This window comes from Homo sapiens, chromosome 16 (genome assembly GCF_000001405.40).
Source record: "Homo sapiens chromosome 16, GRCh38.p14 Primary Assembly".
NCBI classification, from domain to species: Eukaryota; Metazoa; Chordata; class Mammalia; order Primates; family Hominidae; genus Homo; species Homo sapiens.
In genome coordinates this window covers 30,370,934-30,390,199 of record NC_000016.10, presented here as the reverse complement: position 1 = coordinate 30,390,199, position 19,266 = coordinate 30,370,934, and the positions used below count along the sequence as shown (strand labels likewise).

Below are 19,266 nucleotides of genomic sequence, written 5' to 3'. Positions count from 1 at the left end.
GAAGTCCCTCAAGGGATGCAAGGGGTGGGGAAGAGGTAACTGTGAAGACATGATGGCAAGATGAAGAAGAACTAATACGGGCTGGGCATAGTGGCTTACACCTGGAATCCTAGTGCTTTGGGAGGCCAAGGCAGGAGAATCATTTGAGGTCAGGAGTTTGGGACCAGCCTGGCCAACATAGTGACCCCATCTCTAAAAAGAAAAAAGAATTAGCCAGGGATGGTGTTGCAAAGCTATAGTCCCAGCTACTTGGGAGGCAGAAGTGAGCCCAGGTGTTCAAGACTGCAATAACCTATGATCGCACTACTACATTCCAGCCTGGGCAACAGAACAAGACCCTGTTTCTAAAAAAAAAAAAAAAAAAAAAAAAAAAAAAAAAAAAACTAATCCAAATGACTAAATAATTACTAAATGGGAAGAGAGCTGTCCACCACACACTGCCCTATATGAAACTCAAGGTACTGCCTTCCTTTGTCAAAGCAAACAAGCCCCAAATATCATATGAATGATTCGCCATAATTAGTTGGAATTAATAAGCATGGAAATGGACTATGGTGTCACTGTTAATTCATATAAACTCTACATTTAACACAATGACCAAGCAAGAGCCTTTTTTTTTTTTTTTTTGAGACAGAGTCTCACTCTGTTGCCCAGGCTGGAGTGCAGTGGCACGATCTCGGCTCACCACAACCTCTGCCTCCCAGGTTCAAGCAATTCTTCTGCCTCAGCCTCCCAAGTAGCTGGGATTACAGGCGCGCACCACCATGCCCAGCTAATTTTTGTATTATTATTATTTTTTTTTTTTTTTTGAGATGGAGTCTCGCTCTGTTGCCTAGGCTGGAGTGCAGTAGCACAATCTCGGCTCACTGCAAGCTACACCTCCCGGGTTCACGCCATTCTCCTGCCTCAGCCTCCCGAGTAGCTGGGACTACAGGGCCCACTACCACGCCCAGCTAATTTTTTGTATTCTTAGTAGAGAGGGGTTTCACCGTGTCAGCCAGGATGATCTCGATCTCCTGACCTCGTGATCCGCCCGCCTCAGCCTCCCAAAGTGCTGGAATTACAGGCATGAGCCACTGTGCCCAGCCAATTTTTGTATTTTTAGTAGAGACAGAGTTTCACTTTGTTGGCCAGGCTAGTCTCGAACTCCTGATCTCATGATCCGCCTGCCTCAGCTTCCCAAAGTGCTGGGATTACAGGCGTGAGCCACCACACCCGGCCACAAGAGCCTTTTTTGCAGGGTTGTTTTCTTTTTGTTGTTGTTTTTGTTTTTATTTTTATTTATTTTTATTTTTAATTTTCTTTTGAGATAGAGTCTTACTCCGTCGCCCAGGCTGGAGTGCAGTGGCGCAGTCTCGGCTCACTGCAACCTCTGCATCCTGAGTTCAAGCAATTCTCCTGCCTCAGCCTCCTGAGTAGCTGAGATTACTGGTGTGCGGCACCACGCCCGGCTAATTTTTGTATTTTTTTTTTAGTAGAGATGGGGTGTCGCCATGTTGGCCAGGCTGGTCTTGAACTCCTGACCTTAGGTGATCCACCCACGTTGATCTCCCAAAGTGCTGGGATTACAGGCGTGAGCCACCGCGCCTGGACTGTGGTTGTTTTTTTTGAGACAAGGTCTCGCCCTATTGCCACTGCACCTGGCCTGGCATTAATATGTACAAATGCTTAAAATATATAACTTCCTGGGCCGGGTGCAGTGGCTGTAATCCCAGGACTTTGGGAGACCAAGAAGGGAGGATTGTGTGAGTTCAGGAGTTCAAGACCAGCCAGGGCAACATAGCAAGATCTTGTCTTTACTAAAAATCAAAAAGCTTAACTGGGTATGGTGGTGAACACCTGTAGTCCCAGCTAAAACAAACACAAAAACTAAAACAAAAACAGATAATGTACATGTGCATGTATCATAGAAAGATGTAGAGAACAGGCCTGGCGTGGTGGCTCACACCTGTAATCCTAGCACTTTGGGAGGCTGAGGTGGGTGGATCACCTGAGATTGGGAATTCGAGACCAGCCTGACCAACACTGAGAAACCCCATCTCTACTAAAAATACAAAAAAAATTAGCCAAGCGTGGTGGTGCATGCCTGTAATCAATCCCAGCTACTTGGGAGGCTGAGGTAGGAGAATCGCTTGAACTCAGGAGGCGGAGGTTGTGGTGAGCCGAGATCGCGCCATTGCACTCTAGCCTGGGCAACAAGAGAAAAACTCCCTCTCCAAAAAAGAAAAAAAAAAAGATGTAGAGAACACATGAAGCAACAAAAGCATGTTTCCAAAGTTATAATGTGACCCTATTTTTATAAATATAAACAGTGTGTATACATATATATAGGCGTACGAGAAGGATAAATACTAAAATTGGGTTATAGAAAGATAGTGATTGGGAGGCCAAGGTGGGCAGAGCACCTGAGGTCAGAAGTTCAAGATCAGCCTGGACAACATGGTGAAACCCTGTCTCTACTAAAAATACAAAAATTAGTCAGGTATGATGGCAGGCATCTGTAATCACAGCTAGTCGGGAGGCTGAGGCAGGAGAATCACTTGAACCCAGGAGGCAGAGGTTGCAGTGAGCCGAGATCGCGCCATTGTACTCCAGCCTGGGTGACGAGGAAAACTCTGTCTTTTTTTGGTTTTGTTTTGTTTTGGAGAGGAAGTCTCACTCTTGTCCCCCAGGCTGGAGTGCGATGGTGCGATCTCCACTCACTGCAACCTCTGCCTCCCGGGTTCAAGTGATTCTCCTGCCTCAGCCTCCCGAATATCTGGGATTACAGGCATGCGCCACCATGCCTGGCTAATTTTTGTATTTTTAGTAGAGACAGGATTTCAACATGTTGGCCAGGCTGGCCTTGAACTCCCGACATCAGGTGAACCGCCCACCTAGGCCTCCCAAAGTGCTGGGATTACAGGAGTGAGCCATGGCGCCCCGCCGAAACACTGTCTTTAAAAAAAAAAAAAAAAGGCCGGGCGCGGTGGCTCACGCCTGTAATCCCAGCACTTTGGGAGGCCAAGGCGGGCGGATCACAAGGTCAGGAGATCGAGACCATCCTGGCTAACACGGTGAAACCCTGTCTCTACTAAAAATACAAAAAAATTAGCCAGGCATGGTGGTGGGCACCTGTAGTCCCAGCTATTCGGGAGGCTGAGGCAGGAGAATGGCGTGAACCCTGGAGGCAGAGCTTGCAGTGAGCCAAGATCGTGCCACTGCACTCCGGCCTGAGTGACAGAGCAAGACTCTGTCTCAAAAAAAAAAAAAAAAAAAAAGGCCAGGTGCAGTGGCTCATACCTGTAATCCCAGCACTTTGGGATGCCGGAAGTTCAAGACCAGCCTGACCAACATGGTGAAACCCCATCTCTACTAAAAATACAAAATTACCTGGGCGTGGTGGCACATGCCTGTAATCCTAGCTACTCGGGAGGCTGAGGCAGGAAAATCACTTGAACCCGGGAGGCAGAGGTTGCAGTGAGCCGAGATCACACCATTGCACTCCAGCTTGGACAACAAGAGCGAAACTACAAGGGCGAAACTCCATCTCAAGAAAAAAAAAATGGTGATATCACATTAAAAAATATATTTTTTTCGAGGTAGGGTCTGGCTCTGTCACACAGACTGGACGATCCTCCCACCTCAGCCTTCTGAGTAGCTGGGACCACAGGTGCATGCCACCATGCCCAGCTAATTTTTGTATTTTTTGTAGACATGGGGTTTCACCATGTTCCCCAGGCTGGTCTCGAATTCCTGAGCTTAAGCCATCCTCCTGCCTCAGCCTCCCAAAGTGCTGGGATTACAGGCATGAGCCACCACTCCCGGCCCACATTTAAATGTTTATATTTCAATTGCATTTTATAATTTTTCTATGAAAACATGTGTTGGTTGTACAATAAACAGATAAATATATATCATCCTAAATTTTGTATTTTTTTTGAGACAGGGTCTCGCTCTGTCACCCATGCTAAAGTGTAGTGACACCACAATGACTCATTGCAGCCTCAAATTCCTGGGCTCAAGTGATCCTCCTGCCTCAACCTCCCAACTAGCTGGGGCAACAATTGTGCACCACGATGCCCAGCTAATTTTTTTTTTTTAATTTGTAAAGACAGGATCTCACTGTGTTGCTCAGGCTGGTCTCAAACTCCTGGCCTCAAGTGATCCTCCCACCTCGGCCTCCCAAAGTGCTGAGATTACAGACATGAGCCACTGCCTGGCCTACATGTTATCCTCTTTTTTATTTATTTTTTTAATACAGATCGGGTCTTGCTATGTTGACCAGACTGGTCTTGAACTCCTAGCCTCAAGCAATCCTCCCACCTCAGCCTCCCAAAGCACTGGGATTACAGGCGTGAACCACCACGCCCAACATTTTTTTTTTTCCTTTAAACATGTTATTCTGTCAAAGGCTGTTGAATAACTCAGAGAAGAGTTGATCAGGGTCTGAACCCAAAGCAGGTTAATGGCATGGAGAGTGTGAAGAAAAGGGGACCAATTTTTCTGAAGGATAGGTGGGAATTGGAAACTCACTGGAAACACTTGTGGGGAGTGAGAGTGGGAGGAGTTCAGAAAGTTTTTTTTCCTTTTTTTTGAGACAGAGTCTTGCTCTGTCGCCAGGCTGGAGTGCAGTGGTGTGATCTTGGCTCACTGCAACCTGCGCCTCCTGGGTTCAAGTGATTCTTGTGCCTCAGCCTCCCAAGTAGCTGGGATTACAGGCACGCGCCACCACATCCAACTAATTTTTGTATTTTTAGTAGAGACGGGGTTTCACCATGTTGGCCAGGATGGTCTCGATCTCCTGACCTTCTGATCTGCCTGCCTTGGCCTCCCCAAGTCCTGGGATTACAGGCGTGAACCACCACACCCGGCTGATTTCAGAATTTTAACTAAGACCATAGAGATGCTCAACCTGGTGAGAGATGCAGGAGGAAGGCCGGTGGTGGAGTGCTGAGAGGTAACATGATCCCTGCCCTTTGCTTATTTATTTATTTATATTATTATTATTATTATTATTATTATTATTATTATTATTATTATTTGAGAAAGAGTTTTGCTCTTGTTGCCCAGATTGGAGTGCAATGGCACAATCTCAGCTCACCGCAAACTTCACCTCCCAGGTTCAAGTGATTCTCCTGCTTCAGCTCCCGTGTAGCTGGGATTACAGGCATGCGCCATCACGCCCTGCTAATTTTGTATTTTTAGTAGAGTCAGGGTTTCTCCATGTTGCTCAGGCTGGTCTCGAACTCCTGACCACAGGTGATCTGCCTGACTCAGCCTCCCAAAGTGCTGGGATTACAGGCATGAGCCACCGCGCCTGGCCTACTTATTTATTTTTTTGAGACGGAGTCTTGCCCTGTCGCCCAGGCTGGAGTGCAGTGGCAGGATCTTGGCTCACTGCAACCTACGCCTCTCAGGTTCTAGCAATTCTCCTGCCTCAGCCTCCCTAGTAGCTGTGATTACAGGCGTGCACCACCATGCCTGGCTAATTTTTGTATTCTTAGTAGAGACGGGGGTTTCACCATGTTGGCCAGGCTGGTCTCGAACTCCTGGCCTCAAGTGATCCGACTGCCCTGTCCTCCCAAAATGCTGGAATTACAGGCATGAGCCACCGCACCCAGCCCCCCTTTCCAGATTCTTAACAGTCCCTAGATGGTATTAAGTAGCATTTTTGTTTGTTTGTTTTTTGTTTTTTGAGACGGAGTCTTGCTCTGTCACCAGGCTGGAGTGCAGTGGCACGATCTTGGCTCGCTGCAACCTCCACCTCCTGGGTTCAAGCAATTCTGCTTTAGCCTCCTGAGTAGCTGGGACTACAGGCAATGCCACCATGCCCAGCTAATTTTTTGTATTTTTAGTAGAGATGGGGTTTCACCATGTTGGCCAGGATGGTCTCAATCTCTTGACCTCGTGATCTGCCCGACTCAGCCTCCCAAAGTGCTGGGATTACAGGTGTGAGCCACCGCAGCGGTCCTGAGGTAGATTTGTTTGTTTGTTTGTTTGTTTGAGATAGGGTCTTGCTCTGTTGCCCAGGATGGAGTGTAGCGGTGCAATCTCGGCTCACTGCAACCTCCACCTCCTGGGCTCAAGCAATTCTCTTGCCTCAGATTCCCAAGTAGCTGGAATTATAGGTACGCACCACCATGCCTGGCTAATTTTTGTATTTTTGCTAGACAGGGTCTCGCCATGTTGGCCAGGCTGGTCTTGAACTCCTGGCCTCAAGTGATCCACCCGCCTCGGCCTCCCAAAGTGCTGGGATTACAGGTGTGAGCCACCACGCCAGCCAGGTGCTGGGAATCTGAAGGAGGGACAATGACCCTGCCTAGGGTAGGTGGAGAGATTGCATAGAGGCAGAGCCCTTGGAAAGAAACACTTGAAGGATGAGGAAGAGTTTAACTGATTCAGAAAAAGGAAAAGCTCAATGTGGGTAGAGAGCCAAGGACGTTTGGAAGAGTGAGAGATGGGGTGATGAGGCCAGCTGAGGGAGGCTTTGGCAGTCAGGCCAGAATTCAGACTTGACTCTGAGTTACTGGGGAGTTCCTGAAGGATTTTGAGCAGTGGAGTTCTTTGGCCAGGATTCTGAAGGAAAATCTCTCGGGCAGTGGTGTCCAAAGACCTGGAGTCCTTTTATGAATCCATTGTCTGAGCTGGAAAATGTATGGCTTCACCCACTCCCAATCCCATCATGGCTTCTGGTCCACTTTTTTCTTTTTCTTTTTTTGAAACAGCGTTGGCCTGGCATGGTGGCTCACGCCCGTAATCCCAGCAGTTTGGGAGGCCGAGGCGGGCAGATCACGAGGTCAGGAGATCGAAACCATCCTGGCTAACACGGTGAAATCTCGTCTCTACTAAAAACACAAAAAAATTAGCCAGGCGCGGTAGCAGGTGCCTGTAGTCCCAGCTACTCGGGAGGCTGAGGCAGGAGAATGGCGGGAACCCGGGAGGTGGAGCTTGCAGTGAGCCGAGATGGCGCCACTACACTCCAGCCTGGGCAACAGAGCGAGACTCCGTCTCAAAAAAAGAAAGAAAGAAAGAAAAAGAAACAGGGTTTTGCTGTGTTGCTCAGGCTGGAGTGTAGTGGTGTGATCACAGCTCACTGCAGTCTTGATCTTCTGGGCTCATGCAATCCTCCCACCTCAGCCTCCCCAGTAGCTGGGACTACAGGATTGTACCAACATGCCTGGCTAATTTTTTAATGTTTTGTAGAGATGGTAGAGGGGCACGTCCCTCTGTTGCCCAGGCTGGTCTGGAACTCCTTGGCTCAAGCTGTCCTCCCTCCTCCGCCTCCCAAAGTGCTGAGATTACAGGCGAGAGCCACCTTGCCCGTCCTGGGAACTGTTTTCTAATCAGCTCATCAAAACCTTCATCTCCCCTGCTAACAAAGGGAGCCACTTCCTTCCTCTCTGCACATACCCCATGTCTCACCACGATGATGGAGCTACAGTGGGACTTGGAATCCAGATGTGTGAAGGATGGAGGGTTGAAGGTACGTAGACAGGTGATGGGCAAAGGGGTCCAGGAGGTGGCAACCCCAAGTGTTCTTGGCCTTGGCCTTCCCCACCTCTCTGGGACTGGGCCAGTTTGAGCATCTCAGCTGCCTCTTCTGCCCGCCCCCTTGTTAGCCGCACTCAGCTTCCTGCCCCACCAGAGGAAGTGGGGAGAGACGGCAGGTGCAGTGATGGCTGGCGGAGTCATGGTGAGTCCTTACACCCAGAAACCTGGGCATCTCGGCCCCCAGCCCCCATGCCTGGGGTCCCCAGACCCCACTGACTCTTCCTAGCCCAGGAACTCAAGTGATCCTGGGGACCCTGCCTGCCATTGCCAGCAGCCTCATATTGTCCACCCCCATCCATAGGACAAGGAGTACGTGGGTTTTGCTGCCCTCCCCAACCAGCTGCACCGCAAGTCTGTCAAGAAGGGGTTTGACTTCACGCTAATGGTGGCAGGTCTGGGGGTTTTGGAGAGGGAACTGCGGAGGGGATGTCCTTAGGAGGCCCTGGCTGTCCCCTCCCCTGACCAGTTGGGCCTGTTCTGTCCACAGGGGAGTCAGGCCTAGGGAAATCCACCCTCATCAACAGCCTCTTCCTCACCAACCTCTATGAGGATCGCCAGGTGCCAGAGGCCAGTGGTAAGACCCTCCCCACCCTCTTGAGGCAGTAGCCCCTGTCCCCAGGTTACACCCTAGTCTTTTCCATCTGGGGACTCAGGTAGTTGACTGCTTTTTTTCTGAGACTTTCCTCCCCTGGGAAATGGGTGCAGGCAACTGTGATATTGACAAAGGAAATTAATTCTGCCTCAGAGCCTCCCCGGATCCCTGACCTCTCCCCCATCCCACAGCTCGCTTGACACAGACCCTGGCCATTGAGCGCCGGGGCGTAGAGATTGAGGAAGGGGGTGTGAAAGTGAAGCTGACCCTTGTGGACACACCTGGCTTTGGGGACTCAGTGGACTGCTCTGACTGGTGAGGAAGAGGAAAGGGGACAGAGGCTCAGCCTTTCACAGTGGCGACTCCCTGGAGAGTTACAGGACTGGTTTGTGCTGGCTCCCTATCTCAAAAGGTGGTGTCTGTTTCAGAGGGCCACTGGGTCCCTGTGCTTCTTGATGACTCACCTAGGCCCCCACCAGTTCCCCTTAATGTCTTTGGAGGGAGCCAAAGAAATGACATTCTACTCCCACAGTCCTGGCTAGCCTTGCCCCCTGCCCTCTGGCCTTTGATCTCTGACCTCACATCCTCTCCCCACACCCAGCTGGCTTCCGGTGGTGAAATTCATCGAGGAGCAATTTGAGCAGTACCTTAGGGATGAGAGTGGCCTGAACCGGAAGAACATCCAGGACTCCCGAGTCCACTGCTGCCTCTACTTCATCTCACCCTTCGGCCGGGGGTCTGGTGGGGGGATCCTGGGGGCTGGCGCATTTAGGGAGGGCTGGGGGGTCTCTGCCCCCTGAGGCTGGGCAATGACCAATCCCTGGGTGCAGGCTCCGGCCCCTAGATGTGGCCTTCCTCCGGGCAGTACACGAGAAAGTCAACATCATCCCAGTCATTGGCAAAGCGGATGCTCTGATGCCCCAGGAAACCCAGGCCCTCAAGCAGAAGGTGTGAGTGATGACCTCTGACCTTTGACCCCATGTGAAGCCAAACCTGATTTCAGCTTAGACTTCTTTGATCTTGAAGTGGCCTTTCTGGAGCATGGTGCATCAGGCTAGATTGTAGGAGAAGCTTCTGAGGAAGGCGGGTGGTAAGCCGCCAGCATAGCCATGTCTCTGAAGGCTCAAAATAGGCTACATATGCAGCCCCCGGGCTAGATGCCTGGCTGAGGCCTATTTGAGGGCAGGAGCATAGACATGAGAACATAGTGACTTCCCTCTGGCCCCCACCCCGTGTCTTCAGAGCCCTTTCCCACTGTTTCTGCTTATATCTCTCTCGGCCTCTCTTTCTCTCTCTTTTTTTTTTTAGATAGAGTCTCACTCTGTGGCCCAGGCTGCAGTACAGTGGCAAGATCAGAGCTCACTGCAGCCTCGAACTTGTAGGCGCAAGTGATCCTCCTGCCTCAGCCTCTTGAGTAGCAGGGACTATAGATGAACACCACCATGCCTGGCTAACTTAAAAAATATTTTTTTGGCTGGGCTTGGTGGCAGACACCTGTTAATCCCAGCACTTTGGGAGGCTGAGGTCAGTGGACTGCTTGAGCTGAAGAGTTTAAGACAAGCCACGGCAACATGGTAAAACCCCATCTCTACAAAAAGTACAAAAACCAGCCAGGTGTGGTGGTGTGCACTTGTAGTCCCAGTTACTCAGGAGGCTGAGATGGGAGGATCACCTGAGCCTGAGAGGTTGAGGCTGCAGTGAACCAAGATGGAGCCACTGGACTCCAGCCTGGGTGATAGAGTGAAACCTTGTTTCAAAATATATGTGTATATTTGTTGTAGAGATGGGATCTAGCTATATTGCCCAGGCTTCTCCTGGTCTCTTAATGTCTGCCCCATCTTAGAATCTTGTGTTTCTCACCATCTATGTCTCTGAGATTTTGTTTTTGTCTTCCTGTATGTCCATCTCTCCCCATCTCTGTCTTTCATGTCTTTCTCTCTGTCTCTGACCACCCAGTATCTCTGTGTCTCACTGTCTCTGGTCATGAAATGTCTGTCATTGTGGCCCGTTTCACACTGTCTCTATATCTGTTTCCCCTGAGATCCGGGATCAGTTGAAGGAAGAGGAGATCCACATCTACCAGTTCCCCGAATGTGACTCTGATGAAGATGAAGACTTCAAGAGGCAGGATGCAGAGATGAAGGTGTGGGAAACAAAGAAGGAAGGCAGGCCGGGCACGGTGGCTCACGTCTGTAATCCCAGCACTTTGGGAGGCTGAGACGGGAGGATCCCCTGAGGTCAGGAGTTCCAGACCAGCCTGGGCAACATGGCGAGACCCCACCTCTACTAAAAATACACAAATTTGCCAGGTGTGATGGTGGGCGCCTGTAATTCCAGCTACTCGGGAGGCTGAGGCAGGAGAATCACTTGAACACTCCAGCCTGGGCAATGGAGTGAGACCCTGTCTCAAAAAAAAAAAAAAAAAAAAAAAAAAGAGGAAGGGGCAGGAAGCAGAGGAGGCGGGTGTGGAGATTGAAGCTGGGAAAGAGAAAGTTTCTGCCGTGTGAGCCAATGGTGAACCCCTGCCCCCTGCCCTCCAGGAAAGCATCCCTTTTGCAGTCGTGGGATCATGCGAGGTGGTGAGGGATGGCGGGAACCGGCCGGTGAGGGGACGCCGCTACTCCTGGGGGACCGTGGAGGGTGAGTGAGGCCAGGCAGGGGTCCTAAGGCCAGCAGGGAGCCCGGGGCCTCTGGGTCAGGCGCACTCAACATGTGAAGTTGGGGTGGGCTTTGGTCCCAGGGGATCCTAGGAGGAAAGGGGGGTCGCTGGGCTGCAGACCGCGGACCCTCCGCTAGAGTGGCAGCAGGACTTTCCTGTAGACCCGACCCTTACGGGTGGGTTGGACCCGAAACTCCCTGACGTTCGCTGGTCCGCGCCGCCCCCCCTCCAGTGGAGAACCCACATCACTGCGATTTCCTGAACCTGCGACGGATGCTGGTGCAGACACACCTGCAGGACCTGAAAGAGGTGACGCACGATCTGCTCTACGAGGGCTACCGGGCCCGCTGCCTACAGAGCCTGGCCCGGCCTGGGGCTCGCGATCGAGCCAGCCGCAGGTGAGACCCGGGGCGGACAGTATCAGAGCCTCCAAGGTCCCGCCTCACCCATGACCCCGCCCTGAGGACTCGTCCCCACCACCCGTGACTCCGCCTTCACCACTCAGACTTCTCTCTCCCTCCCTCCCTCCCTCCCTCCCTCTCTCCGTCTCTCCCTCTCTCCCCCTCTCTCCCCACCCGCTTTGCCTCCGGCCCTAACCTCAAGGAACTGGCTCCGCCTCCTAGACCCCAACCTCGCCCCAGGCCCTGCCTCCTGGGCCTCACCCACAACCTCAGGTCCCGCTCCTGATTCCTGTCCCCTTCCCACTGTCCCGCAGTAAGCTTTCCCGCCAGAGCGCCACAGAGATCCCGCTGCCCATGCTGCCTCTGGCGGACACCGAGAAGCTGATCCGCGAGAAAGACGAAGAGGTGAGCACGCACCTCGCTTCCCCCCGACCGATGCCCCAGGTCCCCCTCTGGCTTCGCCAGGTCACCGCCTGCAATCTCGCCCTGCACAGCTGCGCCGCATGCAAGAGATGCTGGAGAAGATGCAGGCCCAAATGCAGCAGAGCCAGGCCCAGGGCGAGCAGTCAGACGCCCTCTGAGGCCACGCCCCGCCCGGCCTTACCTCGGCTCCGCCTTCAGTCGGCCTCTTGTCCAATCCCCGCGCCCCACACTGCCCAGCGCCCCCCGGGACCTCCGCGGGTGCCGCCCTCGCGCGGGCTAGGGGGAGGTTCTCCCAGCCTGAGTCCGTAGCCCCGCCCCGGCGCTGGTCCCGCCCACCCAGACACCGCCCACTTCCCGGCCCGGGGCCTGCACAATCTCCGACCGCATCACTGTCTTCCGGAGTCCCCCTTCTTCTCCCAGACTCTGTCTTCAATAAAAACTGAGCTTCCCGCGGCCACGCGAGCCTTCTCCTTCCTTGCGGAAAAAGGCGGCGGGCGTAGATTGTGGGGCCGACCCCCGCAGGCCTCCAGGCCGCATCCATTCATTTGTGGGGCGCTCCCACCTGAGGCCCTCGCGCAGACACTCTGAAGGCGCCGCCCATAAGAAACAAAGATCAGTTAAATTTTATTGGGAGCCGGGGTGGAGGTCGGGCCGAACAGAAGCGTCGGGCAGCGGAGGCCCGCGGGTGCCCCTACTCCTGGTCCTTGGCGTCGCCGTGCGTGATGACGTAGCAGATGTTTTTGTAGTCGACGTTGCCGCCCACGTCGGGGGGGAAGGCCGCCCACATGTTCTTGATCTGGGGAAAGACGTAGGGGCGTCTCGCACAGGCCCTTAGTCTCCCCGGCCCCAGCCCCTTTGCTGCTCCGGCCCCGCCCCGGTCCCCACTCACCTCCTCCTGGGAGAAGCGGTCACACTGCGTGGTCAGCAGCTCCTCCAGGCTGGAGAGAGGTGACACAAGGGGAGTTGCGATTGGGTTCCTGGTTCCTTTCCACTCCCTCGCACCTCATCCCCGATGCCAGCCCCAGCCTCCCCTGAAAACCCAGGTCACTCTACTTCCTTCATTGGCCTCCCAGACACTCGCTTTTGCCCTCTCCGCCCACATTTGCTGTGAAAATGCAATCTTACCGCCCATTACCACAATCTTAACTACTCCCTTACCTCTGGCAGTGCCTAACCCTTCGTAGGAATTTTTGGGTTTTTGTTTGTTTTGAGACAGGGTCTCACCCTGTCGCCCAGGCTGGAATGCAGTGGTTTGATCACGGCTCACTGCAACCTGGAACTCTTGGGCTCAAGGGATCTTCCTGCCTCAGCCTCCGGAGTAGCTGGGACTATAGGTGTTTGCCACCACTCCCGCGAATTTTTTTTTTTCTTTTTTTTGGAGACGGAGTTTTGCTATTGTCGCCCAGGTTGGAGGGCAGTGGCGTGATCTTGGCTCACTGCAACCTCCGACTCCAGGGTTCAAGCGATTCTCATGTCCCAGTCTCCCTAGTAGCTGGGACTACAGGCGCCCGCCACCACGCCCAGCTAATTTTTGTATTTTTAGTAGAGACGGGGTTTCACCGTGTTGGCCAGGCTGTTCTTGGACTCCTGACCTCACATGATCCGCCCGCCTTGGCCTCCCAAAGTGCTGGGATTACAGGCATGAGCCACTGTGCCCGGCCAGCCCACGAATTTTTTAGTTAAGTTTTTAGAAACAGGGTCATGCTGTGTTATCCAGGCTGATCTCAAACTCCTGTCCTCAAGTAAATCCTCCTGCCTCTGCCTCCCAAAGCACTGGGATTATAGGCCTGAGCCACAGGGCCCAGCCTTGGTAGAAATTTAAGGAGGCTGTCAGTGTGGGAGCAGCTGGTGGAGTGGGGGAAGGGTCGGAAGGGTGGGGGAGCCGATGCTTACAACTTCTTCTTGATGGTGCCCTTTCCCTCAGGGTCCAAGACCTTGAAGGCTCCGGTGATCACATCCTCAGGGTCGGCACCTGTGGGGGTCAGAGGGCACATGAAGCTGATGGGTCCCTGAAGGGTCTGGGAAAAGGCAGCCGGGGCCTTGGACCCAGGACACTCCACTCACCCTTGAGCTTCTCCCCGAACATGGTCAGGAAGACGGTGAAGTTGATGGGACCGCTGGCTTCCTTCATCATGGCATCCAACTCCTCATTCTTCACATTGAGGCGGCCTGGAGGGGGTTGGGGGAAGCATGGGCTGGAGCAGGCTCCTGGGGCCGGGCCTGCGCTTCCCACTAATTCAGCTGATCCCATTCATTTTTCAGCTGGGTAGACTGAGGCCCAAGGTGGAGCTGACAGGGCTGGAACCCAAGGCCACTGAATTTCCTAGACTCTGCAGCCTTGAATATTCCCACCTGGGGGTAGGGGGCTCACCCATGGCTGCGAAGGTGTCCCGAAGGTCCTCCTTGTCTATAATACCATCACGGTTCTGGTCGATCACAGTGAAGGCCTGGGGAGGGCCGTGGTGGGGAGGGTTAGGTCCCCCATGGCCCAGCCTCAGCATCCCTACCCCAGGAGGATCAGATGCTGGCTCTCAGCCAACTGTCCTCTTCCACCCCAAGCAGAGAGGGGAGGAAGGAATTCTAAACCTTTCCCCTCCTTCAAGCAGGTGCACATTCCAGGGAGAGGGCCAGCAGGGCTGCTTTTGGTCAGCCTTCCAGTTTCCCCGTCCCCTCACCCACCTCTTTGAACTCCTGGATCTGAGTCTGGTCGAACATGGAGAAGACGCTGGAGCTTCCGCCCTCTACTGTCCTTCTCTTGGCCCTCTTGGGTGCCTGGAGGGTGAGGGTTGAACAAAGGGGCCCATGGACCAGTCCCTCCACCTCTCTGGGGGCAATGGATTAAGAGTCAGAATTCTTCGAGTCCCTGTTCCTAAAGCAGCCCTTTGGCCTGAGTCTCCCCTTCCTTGGGACCTCTTTGCTGAGGGGGCTTGCTTTGATTGCATTCCCCAAATTCCCGTCTGTGGCTCCTGGGTCTCCAACTCTCCATCCCCCACAATGGGTGGAAGCTTCCTTATCTTCTCAGTGTCCTGAGCCTAGCTCCTCTGAGCCTCAGACTTGCTGTGTGACCCCAGCCACTCATTTGCCCTGTTTGAGCCTCTACTTTTCTTTTCTTTTTTTTTTTTTTTTTGAGACAGAGTCTTGCTCTGTCACCCAGGCTGGAGTGCGGTGCTGCGATCTCGGCTTACCGCAACCTCTGCCTCCCGGGTTCAAGCGATTCTTATGCCCCAGCCTCCGTAGTAGCTGGGATTACAGGCATGCACCACCACGCCCAGTTAATTTTTGTATTTTTAGTAGAGACGGGGTTTCGCCTGTTGGCCAGGCTGGTCTCGAACTCCTGGCTTCAAGTGATCCAACCACCTTGGCCTCCCAAAGTGCTGGGATTACAGGCGTGAACCACAGCACCTGGCCTGAGCCTCTACTTTCTCATTTGTAAAATGGGATGGGAGTTATTGCCTGGCTGGTGCCAGAGGGCCTTAGGAAGATGGAGTACAGGAATGAATGGATCAGGCTTTGAGAGGGACTGGGCCCCTGTGAGTTGAATGTCTGGGCGGATTATCATTGATTGGATCCTTTAGGCCATCACACAGTCTGTTTTCCATCAGTGATGCCGAGAAAGAGATGAGCATCCTTTTAACTTTTTGTTGGACTGGGAACCAGCTACTTTCTTTCAAAGGGTGAGGCTGCCCTGAGGTCTAAGGGATCTGGGCAGGGGTTGGAGGATTCTCACTCACCATGTCTTCAGTCTCCGGGGGGCAAGGCAGCGGCTCCGGCTGGAAAGAAGCAAGGAGTCAGCATGGGGCAGTCCCTCTGGGGTTATATAGTCCTGCCCCAGGGAGCCCTTAACATACCAAGGTAACCTTAGCCCTGCGGGTGCCCACCCCAGATACCAAAATAGCCCAACTCAGGGCCTCTCCTTTCTTGGAGGGCTGGCAGCAGCTGGAGCCCAGCGGGGAGGAAGGGGGGAGCATGTCTTGCGATGCATGTCTCACTAGGGCCTGGGCAAGAAGAGATGTTCTTTCTCCCAAAGAGGGGCTGGAATGTGCCAGAGTTTAGAGGGGACGCAACCCAAGGCATCATTCTGGGAGATAAATGAACCAGATCCTGTACCCCTGAGTGGGGTGGGCTCAGATTTAAACCCAGTAAACGTCTGGGTGCAGTGGTTCACACCTGTAATCCCAGCACTTTGGGAAGCTGAGGCAGGAGGATTGCTTGAGGCCAGGAGTTCAGGACCAGCCTGGGCAACATAGTGAGACCCCTGTCTCCCTTTTTTTTTTTTTTAGACAGTCTCGCTCTGTCTCCCAGGCTAGAGTGCCAGTAGTGTGATCTCGGTTCACTGCAACCTCCACCTCCCCTGTTCAAGTGATTCTCCTATCTTGGCCTCCCGAGTAGCTGGGATTATAGGTGTGCCACGAAGCCAGGCTAATTTTTTTTTTCTGTATTTTTAGTAGAGACAGGGTTTCACCGTGTCGGCCAGAGTGGTCTCAATCTTCTGACCTGGTGATCCATCCACCTAGGCCTCCCAAAGTGCTGGGATTACAGGTGTGAGCCACTGCGCCTGGCCCCCGTCTCTATTTTAAATTAATAAAATAAACCCAGTAAACATGTATTGAACACACACAGTGTGCCACGTGCTAGGCTGGGCTTTGTGGATGTACTTTGGCAGACACAATCCCTCCACCCCCACATGGTGGAGTTCATAGTCAAGTGTGTGTAAGTGTGAGGGTGGTGAGAAAGAGCCATCTGTGGAAGCTGAGGGATCAGGTGGGTCTCCTACCTCCCTTCAAGGAGAGGGGAATTTTTTTTTCTTTTCTTTCTTTTTTTTTTTTTTTGAGATGGAGTCTTGCTCTTGTCACCCAGGTGGGAGTGCAATGGTGCGATCTCGGCTTACTGCAACCTCCGCCTTCTGGGTTCAAGCGATACTTCTGCCTCAGCCTCCTGAGTAGCTGGGATTCCAGGCACCCGCCACCATGCCCAGCTACTTTTTTTTTTTTTTTTTGAGATGAAGTCTCGTTTTGTTATCCGGGCTGGAGTGCAGTGGCGTGATCTTGGCTCACTGTAACCTCCGCCTCCCGGGTTCAAGTGATTCTCCTGCTTCAGCCTCCCGAGTAGCTGGGACTACAGGCGCGTGTCACCACGCCCGCCTAATTTTTTTGTATTTTTAGTAGAGACGGGGTTTCCCCGCGTTAGCCAGGATGATCTCGATCTCCTGACCTTGTGATCTGCCTGCCTCGGCCTCCCAAAGTGCTGGGATTACAGGCGTGAGCCACCGTGCCCGGCATCTAATTTTTTGTATTTTTAGTAGAGATGGCGTTTCACCATGTTGGCCAGGCTGGTCTTGAATTCCGACTTCAGATGATCCACCCGTCTCGACCTCCCAAAGTGCTCAAAGTGCTGGGATTACAGGCATGAGCCACCGCGCCGAGCCAAGAGGGATTTTTTGAGGCAAGATGCTTTGTGGTCTCAGGTTTTGTGCTGGGCCTTGGTTTCCCCTCTGTAAAAGGGAGATGTAGTTCCCATCCCACAGAACTTGCCTTATAACTAATAGAGACAGGAATGAATGCAGAAACTGACATACCAGAGCTGGTCAGGAGCCCAGAAGTGGAGGGCGCAGCAGCCCTGTCTAGGAGTATGGGAGTGGCTTCACGAGGGCCAGGGAGTCAGGTGCAGGTGGAGGAGCAGATGTGCTGGGCGGAGGGCATGGCCTGAGCAAAGGCCTGGAGAGCGGAAGATCAGAAGTGTTCAGGTGGCCAGAATTGTGATGGGGCTGGTGACCAGCCCCTGAGGGGCCTTTGCCAGGCACAGGACGGAGACCCTGGGGAACCTTGGAAAGGTTTCATGCAGAAGAAGGATGTGATCTAGTATGAGTCTAGAATATTTTCTCTGGGTACTGGTGTGGAGGCTGGAACTCAAGAGGGGAGGAAAAGACCCTAAAAGGACAGCCAGCTGGTCACTTTCTGTGAGGTGCCTTGATAGCCAGTGGCAGCTCACTTTATTCTGGCCAAGAGCCAGCTTGGCTGATTGTGTGACTTTGATGTACCCTCTCTTCTCCCTCTGGGCCTCAGTGACCCAGTCCCCTCCATGCAGCAGAAGTCTGGAAAAATAGTGGCTGAGGAAGCCCCAAGTTGGCAAGGACAACCATCTCCTTCTCCTCCCGCTCCCTCTAGGACCCGATGTCCTGAGGAAGATGCCTCCCCCTGCCCTGTCCCCCCTCCTCCAGGCCCATGCCGATACCTCTAAGACATTTTCTTTTCTGGGCACTGAGGCCCCAGCCACCTGTTGTCTCTAAGAAGAGAGAAGGAGCCACCCTAAACTTAGCAGCTGCCCTTAGCCTCCCACACCAGCCCCTCCCTGCCTCAGACAGCAGCTGCCTCGCCTTATAGGGTTACCACGGGGGTCCAGGCCAGGGAGGAGCCCACTTATTACTGGGTTCTGGGAGAGGAGGAGGACTCCAAAAAGGGGAATGGGAGGAGAGCTCAGGAAGCTTGGGTCAAACGGGAGATGGGAAAGGTGAGGAGAAGGAGATCAGACACTGAGTGGGAATTGACAGGACATGGGGCTGAGTTGGGAGTGAGGGACCTTAGAGGACTCAGAAACCAAGGAGGAGCTGAGAAGTCGGGAGCTAGGTCTCACTGGAATTCCAGGATGGTGGATGCTATATGGAAATCAGAATATGGGGGTCAGAGAAAGAAGAGGGCGTTTAGAAGTTGGAAGGTTGGAGCTCATAACGTCAGGTCTTTATGCTTGTGATCTAAGGACAACCTGGAGCGCTCATGAGATTGAGGTCGGGATTCTCAGTGGAACATGAGGAGCACAGAGGGATGTGGCAGTGAGGGGAGAGGGGTTGACGGGACTGGGGCCTTGGATCCCCAAAAGAATAGTAACACACATATGGGGAGTTCATGGTATTAGGGATTCATGGATTTGGGGTTTGAGATCCCCACTAGAAGAAATGGAGGGGGTACTCAGAGGGATAAGGTCTGAGGAACTGGAGCCTGGGTTCTGGGGAGGAGCTCAGATAGATGGGAACTGAGGAGAGGGACTTGGAGGTTGGGATTCCCGCAGGAAATGGGTGAAGCAGAGATATGGGTTGCTTATAGGATCTGGGGGCTCTGGCTATTGCCACCTGGGCCTGGAGTGTTGGGGTTAGTTGGGGGCCGAGATCGGAGAATTATAGAGTAAAGGATGAGAGTACTGGGTCAGGGCACTGGATCTGTGGTGGGGCTCAGGGTCCCACAGACCACCAGAGTGTGGGGCTCAGGAGCTGAACGAAGAATAGGGGACCGGAAAGGACTCGAGAGGGGGCAGCGCGGCACTCATTGGTTGAGGGCTGCACTAATGCCCCCGCCCCTTCTCCGTGCTGTCCCCAGCTGTCACCCTCCCATAAGGCTTGTCTCCGGTTGTCACCGACTATCCCTGGGCTGGCACCGCCTGCTGGCAGCATCTTTGCCCTTTGGATGCTCCCATTGGCTGAGACAGCTATCTATTTTCCTGTCCTGTGGCCAAAGTGGGAGAACACGATCATTGGCTGACGGGGCGAATTAATCTCTAGCTTGCCCCGCCTCCTCCCAGCTGTCATTCCTTACTGACCATTTTGGGAGACCTAAAGAATTCTTCAGCTCTTCCTATTGACTGCGGATGCTGTCTGTCACCGCCTAAAT

The 19,266-nt window shown here is 53.2% G+C and overlaps 3 protein-coding genes across 7 annotated transcripts in view, besides 9 other annotated features; 1 reads left to right on the top strand and 2 right to left on the bottom strand.

Annotated features, from left to right (window-relative positions):
* The window catches only part of ZNF48 (zinc finger protein 48), a 21,797-nt gene extending 9,909 nt beyond the window's left edge, over nt 1-11,888 (bottom strand). The window contains exon 1 of one of the 2 annotated variants that reach the window (NM_001214906.1): nt 11,790-11,888. The gene's annotated coding sequence lies outside the window, so the exon portion shown is untranslated. The remainder of the gene's footprint in view (nt 1-11,789) is intronic. The other variant, NM_001214907.1, reaches the window with a different exon arrangement.
* SEPTIN1 (septin 1) lies at nt 7,385-12,065 on the top strand. 2 transcript variants are annotated; one of them, NM_052838.6, is made up of 12 exons: nt 7,385-7,465; nt 7,602-7,675; nt 7,835-7,925; nt 8,021-8,107; nt 8,317-8,440; nt 8,727-8,861; nt 8,956-9,073; nt 10,167-10,268; nt 10,666-10,765; nt 11,017-11,182; nt 11,500-11,590; nt 11,680-12,065. In NM_052838.6, the coding sequence occupies exons 2-12, from the start codon at nt 7,658-7,660 to the stop codon at nt 11,764-11,766; spliced, it is 1,119 nt and encodes a 372-aa protein (NP_443070.6). In that variant the 5' UTR covers nt 7,385-7,465; nt 7,602-7,657; the 3' UTR covers nt 11,767-12,065. The 2 variants fall into 2 exon arrangements, with proteins under 2 accessions (NP_443070.6, NP_001352906.1); NM_001365977.2 differs by lacking the exon at nt 7,385-7,465 and having other exon boundaries at nt 7,639-7,675.
* Nucleotides 10,273-10,830: an enhancer, noted in NCBI's record as "H3K27ac-H3K4me1 hESC enhancer chr16:30390691-30391248 (GRCh37/hg19 assembly coordinates)". NCBI's record gives its function as "activates a minimal SCP1, AML or CMV promoter by ChIP-STARR-seq in naive and primed H9 embryonic stem cells {active_cell/tissue: H9 hESC(naive and primed)}" and the evidence as "EXISTENCE:reporter gene assay evidence [ECO:0000049][PMID:30033119]".
* Nucleotides 10,831-11,388: an enhancer, noted in NCBI's record as "H3K27ac-H3K4me1 hESC enhancer chr16:30390133-30390690 (GRCh37/hg19 assembly coordinates)". NCBI's record gives its function as "activates a minimal SCP1, AML or CMV promoter by ChIP-STARR-seq in primed H9 embryonic stem cells {active_cell/tissue: H9 hESC(primed)}" and the evidence as "EXISTENCE:reporter gene assay evidence [ECO:0000049][PMID:30033119]".
* Nucleotides 10,831-11,419: a biological region, named in NCBI's record as "H3K27ac-H3K4me1 hESC enhancer GRCh37_chr16:30390133-30390690".
* Nucleotides 11,310-11,419: a silencer, noted in NCBI's record as "silent region_7366". NCBI's record gives its function as "represses an Ori minimal core promoter by ATAC-STARR-seq in GM12878 lymphoblastoid cells {active_cell/tissue: GM12878}" and the evidence as "EXISTENCE:reporter gene assay evidence [ECO:0000049][PMID:35858748]".
* Nucleotides 11,560-11,619: an enhancer, noted in NCBI's record as "active region_10700". NCBI's record gives its function as "activates an Ori minimal core promoter by ATAC-STARR-seq in GM12878 lymphoblastoid cells {active_cell/tissue: GM12878}" and the evidence as "EXISTENCE:reporter gene assay evidence [ECO:0000049][PMID:35858748]".
* Nucleotides 11,690-12,029: a silencer, noted in NCBI's record as "silent region_7365". NCBI's record gives its function as "represses an Ori minimal core promoter by ATAC-STARR-seq in GM12878 lymphoblastoid cells {active_cell/tissue: GM12878}" and the evidence as "EXISTENCE:reporter gene assay evidence [ECO:0000049][PMID:35858748]".
* Nucleotides 12,010-12,349: an enhancer, noted in NCBI's record as "active region_10699". NCBI's record gives its function as "activates an Ori minimal core promoter by ATAC-STARR-seq in GM12878 lymphoblastoid cells {active_cell/tissue: GM12878}" and the evidence as "EXISTENCE:reporter gene assay evidence [ECO:0000049][PMID:35858748]".
* Nucleotides 12,010-12,492: a biological region, named in NCBI's record as "Sharpr-MPRA regulatory region 9884".
* Nucleotides 12,198-12,492: an enhancer, noted in NCBI's record as "tiled region #9884; HepG2 Activating DNase matched - State 1:Tss, and K562 Activating DNase unmatched - State 1:Tss". NCBI's record gives its function as "activates a minimal TATA promoter and a strong SV40 promoter by Sharpr-MPRA in HepG2 and K562 cells {active_cell/tissue: HepG2 | K562}" and the evidence as "EXISTENCE:reporter gene assay evidence [ECO:0000049][PMID:27701403]".
* On the bottom strand, nt 12,209-19,266 carry MYL11 (myosin light chain 11). 3 transcript variants are annotated; one of them, NM_001324459.2, is made up of 9 exons: nt 19,196-19,266; nt 17,184-17,322; nt 15,340-15,378; nt 14,288-14,380; nt 13,980-14,055; nt 13,673-13,777; nt 13,502-13,580; nt 12,498-12,546; nt 12,209-12,404 (listed from the first exon to the last, which is right to left on the bottom strand). In NM_001324459.2, the coding sequence occupies exons 3-9, from the start codon at nt 15,340-15,342 to the stop codon at nt 12,300-12,302; spliced, it is 510 nt and encodes a 169-aa protein (NP_001311388.1). In that variant the 5' UTR covers nt 15,343-15,378; nt 17,184-17,322; nt 19,196-19,266; the 3' UTR covers nt 12,209-12,299. The 3 variants fall into 3 exon arrangements, with proteins under 3 accessions (NP_001311388.1, NP_001311387.1, NP_037424.2); NM_001324458.2 differs by lacking the exon at nt 19,196-19,266 and adding an exon at nt 17,840-17,906; NM_013292.5 differs by lacking the exons at nt 17,184-17,322; nt 19,196-19,266 and having other exon boundaries at nt 15,340-15,398.